Here is a 12,765-nt window from a genome sequence, read left to right on the forward strand (position 1 = left end):
TTTTTGCCATATGAGGTAACACTCACAGCTTCCAGGGACTATGACCTGAATATCTTTGGGGGTCATTCATCTTTCCTCATCAGAATTATAGATTTGTCATTATTTTCTTTCAGCGTATTAAAGATATTATTCCACTGTCTTTTGGCTTCCATTTTTGATGTTGAGATATTTTTTAGTCTAAGTATGATCCCTTTTAAGATAATCTGTATATTTTTTTCTCTAAGCTTTTCTCTTGGTTTTAATCACTGTGATCACTGGTAACTACGATGGGTCTAGGTGTACATTCCTTAACATTTACTTTGCTTGGGATTCTCTGGTCTTTTGACCACTTAGTGTCTTTCAATAGTCCTGGAAAATTCTCAGCTTTTATCTTTTCCATATTACCTCATTCCCATCCCCATTGTCCTCTTTTGGGACTCCAGTCAAATATATGTTGGGCCTTCTGACTTATCCCCTATAGTCTAAATCCACTCTTCTGTGCTTTCCATATTTTTGCTTTTGATGCTGTATTTTGAACAATTTCCTGTGATCTAACCTCTGGTCCTTAATTCTCTCTTCTATTGTTTTTAATCTTTTGCCAAACACTTCAATAAGATTTTCATTTGTTTTTAAATTTTTCCTTTCTAGAAGTTCTGTTTGATTCTTTTCCAAATCTACTAAGTCAGTTTTTACAGTTTTTGGTGCTCTGCAGATATTTGCAAGCTTGTTTACTTTTTCATGTGGTTAGCAAATATAAACTTACTGAGTTTGCATCTGAAGTGTGTCCAGGTCGGTTTCTGCTCTCTGCTGTTTATGCTGGTTCTCACTCATGTTGCCTTATTTCCTTCTATGCCTGATGATCTATTTTCTGATACGCCTGACAATTTCACTAGTTATTGCCCGTAAAGAAATTATGTGTGGAGATCCCCTGAGGCTTAGAATGAGTGTGCTCTCCTTCCTCTGGTTGCCTTTTGGAGTCACTACAAATGAAATTCATTGTCCATGTATGATATAGAACCCTGGGGTGCAAATCTGGATGAGGGCAGGCCTCTGGTCACATCTCAGGGGTAATTTTATCCCCTTCCTACTTCCTCTCTTGCTTTGCTCAGGTTTCTCTCTGGGCCTATGGGTTTGGGGGGGACAGGAAGTGACATATTACTCCTGGTTCATCCTAATCCTGAGGGTGTGGCCCTTTGGGACCCAGCTTACTGTAGGTATATGTCTCCTGTAAGAGTCTACATCAGATGTGCTCTGGGCCCTGACATCTTTCATCCTTACCCCTTTGATGTCTGCAAGGCAAAAGCAGCTTTGGCACTCAAATCATCCTCGAGTCTCTTTAGGTTAAAGCTTTCTCCCTAAATCAGCCTGGTAGGGATGTGCTATCATTCAGCTCTTCAGTGTTTTTATGGTTACTTACTCAGAGTTGTTTTTAGCTGAGGGCTCATCCAATAATTCAATCACCTAACCTTCCCTCGTAGGAAATAGCTATTACATTTCTATTGTGTAAAATTTTACAATTGTGTTTAATATTTATTTACAATTTAATAATTGTGTTATGTGTCTTTAGGAAATTTAGAAATTTACAGTGCAGAAAAAATCAAGGGAATGTAGGGCCACAAGTTTTTATTTGCTTTAAGATATTAGTAGCCACATGGGATATTGACCTGGTGTCCCATCTTGGGGGAAAAGGTGAGAGACTTTTACTGGTTGCACATTAACACTGGGGAATGGAAAAGCCCATCTTGTTTGATGCCATCTGTTGTTTCCTCAAGGGGTAACTTTAATTGGTTGGCCAATAAGTTTCATCCTTGCCTTAAAAAAAATGACCACCAAGGGAAAACTACTCTTAGCTGGCTTCCCAACCACCTCAGCCTGGCCCTGAGCTGCCCTGGAGTGGCCACCATCCAGCCCCTTCAAGTTAGGGCAGCTGGCTTTGATTCAGGCTGTGGAGACAGCGTTAGTCAGCAGCCTCTTCTCTCATGCATGCCCTGATCTTTAACGCTCCAACGTGCATCTGTGACAATGACAGCGGATTCCTGACTGTGGCCATGGCTCAGGATACTTCAGTGGATAAATTTGGGCCAGGTTTGTGAGTCCCATCTTTGGGCTCCCCTCAACATCACGATTTAGCCAGTTGGTGTTGGATCACGATTTTAAAACTTTAAACCTTGAGTGTTAAGAATGAATTCTTGACTGTTCAGTCCTCATATCCCAGATTTGGATGGAAACCTCTGATGCTATAATCAACATGAGGAAAAGCCTGTAAATCATTTACAGATTCAGAAAACACTTAATGGACTTCTCCTCTGTGGAAAGCACCATGCTGGGTATTGTGGCATCCGTGCCCTCAGAACGCTTCTAGTCTTTTCCTATACAGAGAACACAAGTATGCCCACCTAAGAGAGAAGCTGAGATTTAGAGGAGCCACTGAGGATGGCTGTGAAAGTGATCTGGCTAGGATGTTTGTCATCCCATTGCTCACGAGGTTTGATGTGGCTGATCCGCCTAGCTGGCATCTCTTCCCTCCTCATACCTCAATGCACATTCCTCCCACATCTGGGCTCATGGCAGTGAATGTGACCTTTCTGTCCAGAGGAGTTCTATCATTTGGTCAAGGTAGGGAGGTGATTGTGCTTCTCTGTTTAAGACTTAGCAAAAGACAAAATGCAGAAAGCCTGAAGGTGGGAGCTAATCTTTCTGGCTGTCACCAGGTCTTATACAACCTTGTGGTTGTCACGATATATGCATCAGAGCAGACCCCATTTCCTGGAAATCATTTCATAATGGATACTGGAATTTGAATTAATAAAACTTAGAAGGACCCAAACTTGGTATCTCCTTGCCAATTCTCTCAAAATTGAGTGTTCTGCAGTGTTCCTACACAAGTGAGGTTGGTGCATTTATTAATTAATGTCACTAAGAGATCAGTTAAAGCCTCAGCAAACAATTGCCATGTGCTCTTTCAGGGAAAAACAACTTACAATCAGATTTGTTCCCTCAGCAAGAATTAGAGGATATACTGCCAAAGTTTCTCCAAGCTGCCCCCTCTTTTTCTTGGCAAGCTATTGGGCTGTTAGCTTCCAGTCCCCCAGCTTCCTTGACTATGAGGATTCCTTCCTAGTGTGGTTCAGAGCACAGATTCCACCTGCTTTTATTTTGCTTTCTAATTGCTTATTATTCTCCCAAGCACACACTGTTTTTCTTTGCTCTATTCCTCTATGTTGCTGAATATTTTGATCCTAAACAAAGGTGACTTTTGTACTCAGCTTGTTATGAAAGATCAGTAATATGTGACATGTGATATGTTTTCCAACTTTTATATCTTTATACTCCCTGAGTGTTTGGCCATGGGGTTCATGTTTTGCTGAGTATAATACCCTTGCCATTCAAATTTTAATTGAAGTAAATAGTAAAACAAAGTTGGAGTAGAGTGGGTCTTTCTCCTTCTCCTGATCCAGAGGAGGCACCCAAAAGTACTCACAGAATATGCGAAGTATTAGGATACTAACTTCTTAAACTTAGGATAGATTCCATCCTATTACTTGTTTCTGTAGGTGCATGTGGACAAAAAGTGATACCATACTGAAGACTGTCTAATGCTATATTAGAGGATATTTTGGTCTTTTGCAAAAACAGAGAATGAAGACAGTGCAAAGTGCTAGGCACAGCACTGGGCATTGACTGTTGGGGAATAAAAGGCAACTGGTGTTCCTAGAGGAGAATTAGACCAAGTTGGACTTTGTCTACTCTGCTACTCCGTCAGCACTCAGCCTCCCAGATAGATGCTCCTCATGGGGCCCATGCTTAGACATTATGGTGGCCCATGGGAAGATTAGCTGCATCTCTTTTGGGTGGCTTTTGTCCTCTAACTCCAGAGTCATGGGATAGACCCTACTGTGAGTTGTTTATTCAAAATATTGAGCTCTGCTTGTGGCAGATACTGTCATAGGCATAGGGCATACAGCAATAGAAAAGACAGGCAAGATCCTTGTTCTTTTTTTTTTTTTTTTTTTTTTTTGAGACAGGGCTCACCTGTCATCCAGGCTAGAGTGCAGTGGTGCGATCTCAGCTCACTGCAATCTCCAGCTCCCAGGCTCAAGCAATCCTCCTGTCTCAGCCTCCCAAGTAGCTGGGACTAGAGGTGTGCACCACCACACCTGGCTAATTTTTGTATTTTTTGTAGAGATGGGTTATACCATGTTGCCCAGGCTGATCTCAAACTCCTGGCTTAAGCAATCCACCTGCCTCAGCCTCTCAAAGTGTTGGGATTACATACGTGAGCCACTGTGCCTGCCCTAAGATCCCTGTTCCTATGGAGCTTATATTCCAGGGGAGGGACAAGCAATAAAGTGCAAGATAAACAAGGTAATTTTATAGTGATAAAGATAGGATAAGGGAGGAGGTCAGAGAGTAAACCATATGTCCTGCTTTAGAGGAGTCCACACGCCCATACAAAATCCAGTAATAGGATGAGATATATCCAAAGTTTAAGGCAGGACATATGGTTCACTCTCTGTGAGGTGGCCTCTTTGAGAAGATGACAGTAGCACTGGGACGTGAGTTTGAGACTCAGTCACATGAAGATATGAAGCGACACTGCCCAGCAGAACCCTCCACCTGCCGCCGATGATATGTGCTGTCTAGCATGATAATCGCTAGTCACATGTGGCTGTTGAGCCCTTGAAATGTGGCTAACGCAACTGAGGAGCTGTGTTTTAAATTTAATATTAATAATTTAAATTTAAATAGAAAAATGTGGCAAATAGCTATCCTATTGAACAGTGCAGATGAGGGGAAGGACGTTTCAGGTAGGGAGGGCAGCTTGTGAGAAGGTACTGAGGATATGTCACCCTGTGGATCCAACATGAGATCCCTGACTGGAAGCTCTGGTCAGTTTTTAAAGAGCAAATCTGGAAAATTTAATGATGTTTCCTGCTTCTGTTTTATGGGCCTCTGGAGAACCTACAAAGGAATAACAGTTAACCAGACAGGAGTTAAAATCCCTGCTCAACAAAGAACCTATTTCCTTTCCTAGGAAGGACTCATTCCACATTGGCTGACTCACAACTCTTGACTGGTTTCCTCTGCTAATGGCTGTGGCCAGCCTTTGTCTGTGCAGGATGTAGCCTTTTCGGCGCTGAGCTTGTTCGTTCTGGGAACGAATCCTGCCTTTGTTCTGGACTTGCATCTTCTGGTAACAAGAGGCTGGAACCCCTACCATGGCTCCTTCAAGGTGTCTCTTTGTATTCCACATACAACTCCTCCATCATCCTAGGGGGCTCAGACCTCATCTTTTCTGGCATAGCTTTTCTATTTTCCTCCATTGCAAAGATAGAGTAGTCAGCCCTGGTTTTAAAGAGAAATCGCTGTTTAGAGAGAATTTCACCTTGAATTGCCACTTTATGTTGAAAGGATTAAGAAAGAAAAGGAAAGAAGAAATAAGAGAAAAAGAAAAGGCCCCAGGAATGTTTCCAGTGGTTTTCTTACATGCCATATATGCATTGGGATCTCTCAGGCCACGGAAGCCTCTCTACCTCCTGGGCAAGAATTGGGCTATTTGAAGCAGCCACTGGCTAGTCCCAGCAGGGGCAGAGGGAGGGGCAATGGCAGGGACCGGCTCTGTCCATCCAGCATGGATGGAGATTCGGCTCCAGCAAGATTGCCAGGCGAAAACAGAGATGAGGTTGCCAATGCTGGCTCAGTGTGCTGAGGATTAGAGGAGGCTCAGCTGCAGAGTCTGTAATCCTGGACTAGCCTGGATTTGTCATTGGTTTAATGATGAATCTACTACTCTCTTTGTACTTACATAGCCCAAGAAAAAACAATGACCTAGTACCACCCTGAAAGGTGTAAGAAACAAAGCAAAGGCAATCCAAATGTTAAATTGGAGGCCACAGAGCCAAGCCCACCTCCATGGTTGAGCAGTTACTCTGCCTCCTTCCTTTGGTCTTACCTGACTGTCTGCAATTAGCTCAGTGGTGGTGGGGGGCACAGGGGAAGGCTGTGAGCTTCAAGCCGTGGCATGTACCAAGAAGCTATCTTGATGTTGATGACCTTGGTCCCTCTGATGGACAAGTTTGAGATCATAAAATGAGTACCTGTGATGACTGAACAATGTGCTGGCGTGTTCCATCCCCTTTTGCAAAGAACCTTCCCAGAACATAAGTGTGAAAACCCACCTGAATCGGGTGCTTTGGCTTCATGTGTAAACGTGGCAGTGCTTCACGAAGATCCCTCCCATGCACATGTGCATTGCCCTTACTCTTAGCACCTGGTTCTCCAGGAGAGGAAATCCCTTCTCCCTTCTTGGGAAAGGGGCTGTGTTAGACACTTTCATCTGAGGGGTTCATTGGAAGACACTATAAGCTACATGGGTCAATATTAGCCCAGCTGAATTCCATCATCTTTTTTTTTTTTTTTTTTTTTTTTTTTTGGAGACAGGGTATCTGTTGTCCAGGCTGGAGTACAGTGGCGTGATCTCAGGATCTCAGCTCACTGCAATCTCTGCCTCCTGGGTTCAAGCAATTCTCCTGCCTCAGCCTCTCAAGTAGCTGGGATTACAGGCACTAACCACCACGCACGGCTAATTTTTGTATTTTTAGTAGAGACGCAGGGTTTCAACATGTTGGTCAGACTGGTCTCGAACTCCTCATCTTGTGATCTGCCTGCCTTGACCTCCCAAAGTGCTGCGATTACAGGTGTGAGCCACTGCACCTGGCCAGGAATTCCTTTGTCTTATAAAAATTATTTTTAATTTTAAAATAGGTATGTTTATTAAAGAAAAATTAGTTGGCCAGGTGCAGTGGCTCAGGCCTGTAATCCCAGCACTTTGGGAGGCCAAGGCAGGCAGATCATGAGGTCAGGAGTTTGAGACCAGCCTGGACAATATGGTGAAACCTCATCTCTACTAAAAATACAAAAAAAAATTAGCCAGTTGTGGTGGTGGGCACCTGTAATCTCAGCTACTCAGGAGGCTGGGCCAGGAGAATTGCTTGAACCCAGGAAGGTGGAGGTTGCAGTAAGCCAAGATGATGCCACTGCACTCCAGCCTGGGCAACAAGAGCAAGACTCCATCTCAAAAAAAAAAAAAAAAAAGAAAAGAGAAAAGAAAAGAAAAATTAGCCTACAGCCATACTACCTTGAATATGTCTGATCTCATCTGATCTCAGAAGCTAAGCACGGTCAGGCCTAGTTAGTACTTGCATGGGAGAAGCTTTAGAAAACTTACAAAAGGAAAGAAGGGAAAAAAATTACCTATGATTCTACCATCTAAACACAATGATTCCTGTTAACGGTTTGGTATGTTCTCCAATAGGATTTCTTTCCTACCAGAGGAAAGCCTTTTACATGGCTGTAACTGTAATGTATATACAATTTTGTGCACTGGTTTTAGATTTAACATTAAATAGTAAATGAATAGTAAATATCACTTTTTAATGGCAGCATAGTATGTCCTTAAGTTCCTGTGTACTTGGCACTTGGGCGACTTAAGCCACAAGGACTCAGTAACGGTTGAAGGTCACACAGTGAGTGGGTGATGCAGCCAGCCGTAGCCCGAGTCTCCCACCTCCCAGGTGAACACTCATTATATTCACTGGATCTCAGTCTTTCCCTGACTTTGTCCCCACACGTGGGGTGTATACCACTGCCAGTTGCCTCCTCCTTACATTATTGTGTTTTAACACCCTCTTCTACTTCCAGTGAGGGCCACTATACCACCCGCTGCAGGACATGTCCCCGGCATGGAGGCCAGATTATCCCCGTCTATCCTGGTACCGGAAGAGACCCATAGTATCATAATAAATAACAGTATTCATGGGGGCCAGGTGTGCCATGTGCTTCTCCCAACCCAGCTTCCACCTCTTACCTTAATACTAGTTTTGGAGTAAAAGGAAGGATTAACTGACATGGCATAGTGGCTCATGCCTGTAATCCCAACACTTTGGGAGGTCGAGGCCTGCGGATCACCTGAGGTCAGGAGTTGGAGACCAGACTGACCAACATGGTGAAACCCCGTCCCTACTAAAAATACACCTTGTGTACTGGGAGGTGCTTTAGTGGAAATACAAAGTCTTTGGAATCCAACAAACATTGTTTCAAATAACCACATACTAGGCTTTGACACTTTAGGTGAGGTACTCAGTCATTTGGAGCTTCAATGTTCTAATCTGTAAAATGGGGATAGTGATCTTAATTTGTTTTAAGACTTGTGAAAATCAAGAGAATGTGTGAAGCAGGTAGCATAATTAGCCTTGTGCACCCAGACTTACTGCCTACCACATGTTCCCCACTCCTTCCTTGCCTGGCACAGTGCTGGTATACAGTAGGTACTCAATACATGCCTACGACATTGAACTGAATTTTCATTTGGGATGTTCAGCTTGTGCGTCTTCATTTCCAGATTGGAACTGGAGTTGTGTCCCAGTCTCTGGGTAAGAGCTAGGACCATACAATTAGAAGGGCTTATTCTAAGTATTGGCATTTATTCTCCTGGGAATTGCACTCCAGGCCGTGTATGAGGGTTCCTTTTATTTCAATAATCAAGCTCACATTCAGTGTATCATGTTACGGAGCTCACAATAGCAGATACACAGCTCCGGCTGTACCAGGTGACACGTGGCTCCTACCAGAATCCTGAAGGTAGGCACGGTCCTCATCCTTCTTTCCTGTGGCTGGCTGTGGCTGGCAGGTTTCAGGTGTTTGTTTTTAACCACTGCACATCACTGCTTCTCCCACAATGGCAGACAGGAGCAGAGCCTTCTATGTGGGTTTGGGAAGATGTGTGTGGTGGGGCGCTTTTCAATAAACTCTTAGTCTAAGAAAGTTCTGGGCATAATGAAAGAAGACAGAGAGAGGAAGGGCCAAACCTGCTGATTGGAGTAGAGCCTGGCAGCTTGGGGAAACCTAGTAGACCATGGGAAGGACTCAAGGCCAGAAGAGAAAGGCAGCCACGGCCAGGCTGGCTGGTTCCCTCAGGTCAGGAGCTGGGACTGGCGCTTTTAGGTGTCTGTGACTGAGTCAGCGGCTGAGGCCAACGGAGCCTGGGACAGCCTGTGGGCTGTGACTAAATTAGGAAGAAAAAGCCTTTGGGCTCTCCTGGGAGGTCACTGGGGCAGGTGGCCCATGGAAGAGCCTCTGGTGGGCAGCTAGAAACAGGCTGGTCAAACATATCCGACTGGCTTTCACTTTGGTTTTTCAGTGCGACTATAGAAACGTCACACACCGGGTCTGAATTCAGTCCCAGCAGGAGGGAAGCCCCCCTGATGCCAGGATACCCCAAGCCCCATCTCCTCCAAGGGGCTAAGTTAAAATAGGAGAATCTAGTAAGCCTCAATCACTAAGTCATTTATAAGCTCACTGGGGAGTTTTGACCTTTTAAAAGGAATATACCCTATTGACTGTTTTGGATAGGAGATTACAGTGGACACCAGGCATTGCAGGTAGACATCAGCCTGTCCCAGACAGGACAAATTGGAATGATGGTTGCTTTGCATAACCTGACAATGAAGTACCTGTGACAACAGATTTTGATTTTAGAAAATCACGTGAAGGTTGAGTTTGGTTTGAGTGTTTAAGGATTACAGTGTGAGATTTGGAAGGAGAAAAGTAAAAAAAAGTTGGCAGGAGAACGGTGGCTCCTCGGAAGAAAAGTTACATTTCTAAGTAATCAAACTCTGAATGAGGCCAGCCAGGGTCTTTAGCCACTTCCTCACAGAGAGGGGCTTCTTGGCTTTTTTTTTTTTTTTTTTTTTTTTGGTATTGTACTTTCTGCAAGACTGGTTGAAGGCGTTAGCCTGAGAGCACAGTTTCTCAACTGCAACACTATTGATATCTTGGGCCAAATAATTATCTTTTGTGGTGGTTGTCTTGAGCATTGTAGGATTTTGTCAGCATCCCTGGTCTCTGCCCAGTAGATGCCAGTTGCATCCCATCACCCCCCTCAGTTCTGACAACAAACTGTTTCCAGCATTACCCTGGGGGCCAAAATCATCCCCAGCCACTGCTTAGAGCAAAGGAGAACTCACTTTTCCTCCTGAAAGGTATTGCAGTTACCACTGGGTAGGTGAAATGATGGGTCATCTCCGTTCATCTCCTGTTCCACAAAAATAAAGAAGGGCAAGTGTTTCAGGAGCTTTGCTGGCTGGGAGTCAGTTTGCTGGGGTTGTCTGATGTAGCTGGATTGCTAAGGTTTTTAAGGGTATCTTCAGGACCAAATTTTCACCCGTGAAAACCCAGAGTAAAAAGCAAGCAAGCAAACAAACAAACAAACAGACCACCACCACCACCACCCACAGCAGCAACAACAAAAAATAGGGAAGTAAACCAGGCGAGGCTTTGGAATTTTATTAAAAATGGTCAGCGCGATCAGACCTAGATCCCTTCTTCTGAAGTGCTCTCAGGAGACCTGTCTCCATAGAGCTGGCTTGGGTGTTGATATGTGAAGAGGCTGAGAACATGTGGCATAAACATCGACTGATATTGTTTGCCATTTACACTCAGCATGTGTAATGCAGCAGGAATGGCTCCCGGTGGCATGTGACTGCCCTTCCAGGCGGGTATGCCGTGCTCAGGCACTGCTCTTTCTCTTTCGCTCCCTCCCTCCCTCGCTTGCATACCCCCTCCGCTGCCCCTTTCCAGACTCGAGAGAGTTTGAGTGAAGGCTTGTCATGATTGGCATGCAGAAAGCTGGTAGAATGTCATTGGAATTTTCTAGGGAGGCACATGCGCAACACCCAAAATGACTCCAGGCTTCGATAGCCGCAGGTCAGCCCGTCGTGCCAGGCACCCTGGTATGTTTCAGAAAGGTAAGGTTGCATGACATCATCCTACCTTTCCCCAGCACAAGGGAGAAATCGAGGTTTATTTGTTTCTTTTTTAATTCTCCAGTTCAGGCAGCACCTCTAAACATGTTCTCGGCGCTGAGCATTTGTGCATGAGTATGCGATTTGTCTGTGTCCCCACCCCCTCCGTTTTAAAAAAAAATTAACAAATGATTCACAACGGCAGTTTAACATGTGACCTAAAACAGCTCCTCATGACCCCAGTGAAATCAGCGATCCTAATGTCAGGAAGTCTAGATGCTCTTTTTACGCTGGTTACTAAACTCTTCTTTAAAGAAAAGTCGCAAGGCTACTGGAAAACAGATTGAGTTATCACCAGATCTGGGAGAATGGAAGGGGATGCATTCAGAATCCCAAAACTTTATAAATGATGGGCATCTCTTAAGGGTGAGGTGCTTTGTGTTAATTGCTGGAATTTGGCAGTGATGGAAAATGAACTTAAAGGTGTTTGAAACATCTCGTATGTGTTGAGTGTTGACTCATTCTGGACCAGGAGGGGAGTGCCGTGTTAAAATTCATGAGCAGGGGATATTTCGCCAAGAAACAAGGCTTGAGAATAGCTTCTGAGCACCCCTGAAGTAGCTGGAATATGAATTTCAGCACCTCTTAGGTATCTTTAAGTAAAGTTAAGTGTTTAAACAAAACTATTTTCATTGTCGCCAAGCAAGCAAGCAAGTGCATAAACTTCTGTTGTGCGGTTCAGGGTACAAATTTGGACATGGACATGATGGTCTGTTAGCAGACTCAAGCACAACCAAACATGACTCACCTCATTTCTCTATCTGATGCAATTACAAGTAGCTTCAACACATGTGGTAGAGGAATACTAGTTTTCTGCTTGCAAGTGTGTAAAAGCAAATCCATACTCATAAAACGGCATGGACGGGGTGTCTTATATCACGGAGATTTTTTTTTTAACCTCAAAAATAGCTTTTATGCAGCTTTGCCATTGGTTTCTGCCTTATATACATTGGAATCTTTTCTTTCTTGCAATTCTGAGATGTCAGAAAACTGAAGGGGAGAGGGTTAATATGTTCACACACTTGCCCTTCCCCCACATGCATATGCTAACAGCTGCCATGTATGATTTTTGTGGAATTTGATATTTCGAATGAAATGACTTCCTTATTTTCCATAGTAATATAATAATCAATTTTACCACAGAGAACTGTGTACATGTCAAGCCTTGGCTGCCTCTAATTAGCAATGGATGGGGTAGCTGGGGAAAGTGCTGGAGAGCAGTTTCAAGTAAAAAAAATCAGTCTTCAAGCTTTAACCATTCTTTCTGGCCTCAGCCAAGGCAGTTTTCAATCTGCTTGGATCGTAACCACAGGTTTAGTTTGTGGTATTCTAAGAAAATATCTAGAATGGCACATGCAAATGTGATGAAGATGGGCCTGTGTATCTAACCGTTGTGAGGTTGTCTTTTAGCTCTACTCTGCAGTAACTTTGTTTTTTTTTTTGTTTTTTGTTTTTTGTTTTAATTGATCATTCTTGGGTGTTTCTCGCAGAGGGGTATTTGGCAGGGTCATAGGACAATAGTGGAGGGAAGGTCAGCAGATAAACAAGTGAACAAAGGTCTCTGGTTTTCCTAGGCAGAGGACCCTGCGGCCTTCCGCAGTGTTTGTGTCCCTGGGTACTTGAGATTAGGGAGTGGTGATGACTCTTAACGAGCATGCTGCCTTCAAGCATCTGTTTAACAAAGCACATCTTGCACTGCCCTTAATCCATTTAACCCTGAGTGGACACAGCACATGTTTCAGAGGGCACAGGGTTGGGGGTAAGGTCACAGATCAACAGGATCACAAGGCAGAAGAATTTTTCTTAGTACAGAACAAAATGAAAAGTCTCCCATGTCTACCTCTTTCTACACAGACACGGCAACCATCCGATTTCTCAATCTTTTCCCCGCCTTTCCCCTCTTTCTATTCCACAAAACCGCCAT

General features: G+C 44.0%; 1 protein-coding gene and 2 pseudogenes across 3 annotated transcripts in view, besides 1 other annotated feature; all 3 read left to right on the forward strand.

Annotated features, from left to right (window-relative positions):
• RBM20 (RNA binding motif protein 20) overlaps positions 1-12,765 on the forward strand; it is a 196,224-nt gene that overhangs the window by 110,797 nt on the left and 72,662 nt on the right. Inside the window, exon 1 of one of the 3 annotated variants that reach the window (XM_017016104.3) lies at positions 9,736-10,784. The exons of the other annotated variants lie outside the window; for them this stretch is intronic. The gene's annotated coding sequence lies outside the window, so the exon portion shown is untranslated. Of the gene's footprint in view, positions 1-9,735; positions 10,785-12,765 lie in introns of those variants that run through there. 3 annotated transcript variants of the gene reach the window in all.
• Positions 2,415-2,682, forward strand: RN7SKP288 (RN7SK pseudogene 288; annotated as a pseudogene).
• Positions 7,101-7,201, forward strand: RNA5SP327 (RNA, 5S ribosomal pseudogene 327; annotated as a pseudogene).
• Positions 10,119-10,619: an enhancer, noted in NCBI's record as "H3K4me1 hESC enhancer chr10:112523918-112524418 (GRCh37/hg19 assembly coordinates)". NCBI's record gives its function as "activates a minimal SCP1, AML or CMV promoter by ChIP-STARR-seq in naive H9 embryonic stem cells {active_cell/tissue: H9 hESC(naive)}" and the evidence as "EXISTENCE:reporter gene assay evidence [ECO:0000049][PMID:30033119]".

The sequence above is a fragment of the Homo sapiens genome, chromosome 10 (assembly GCF_000001405.40).
Source record: "Homo sapiens chromosome 10, GRCh38.p14 Primary Assembly".
Classification (NCBI taxonomy): Eukaryota; Metazoa; Chordata; class Mammalia; order Primates; family Hominidae; genus Homo; species Homo sapiens.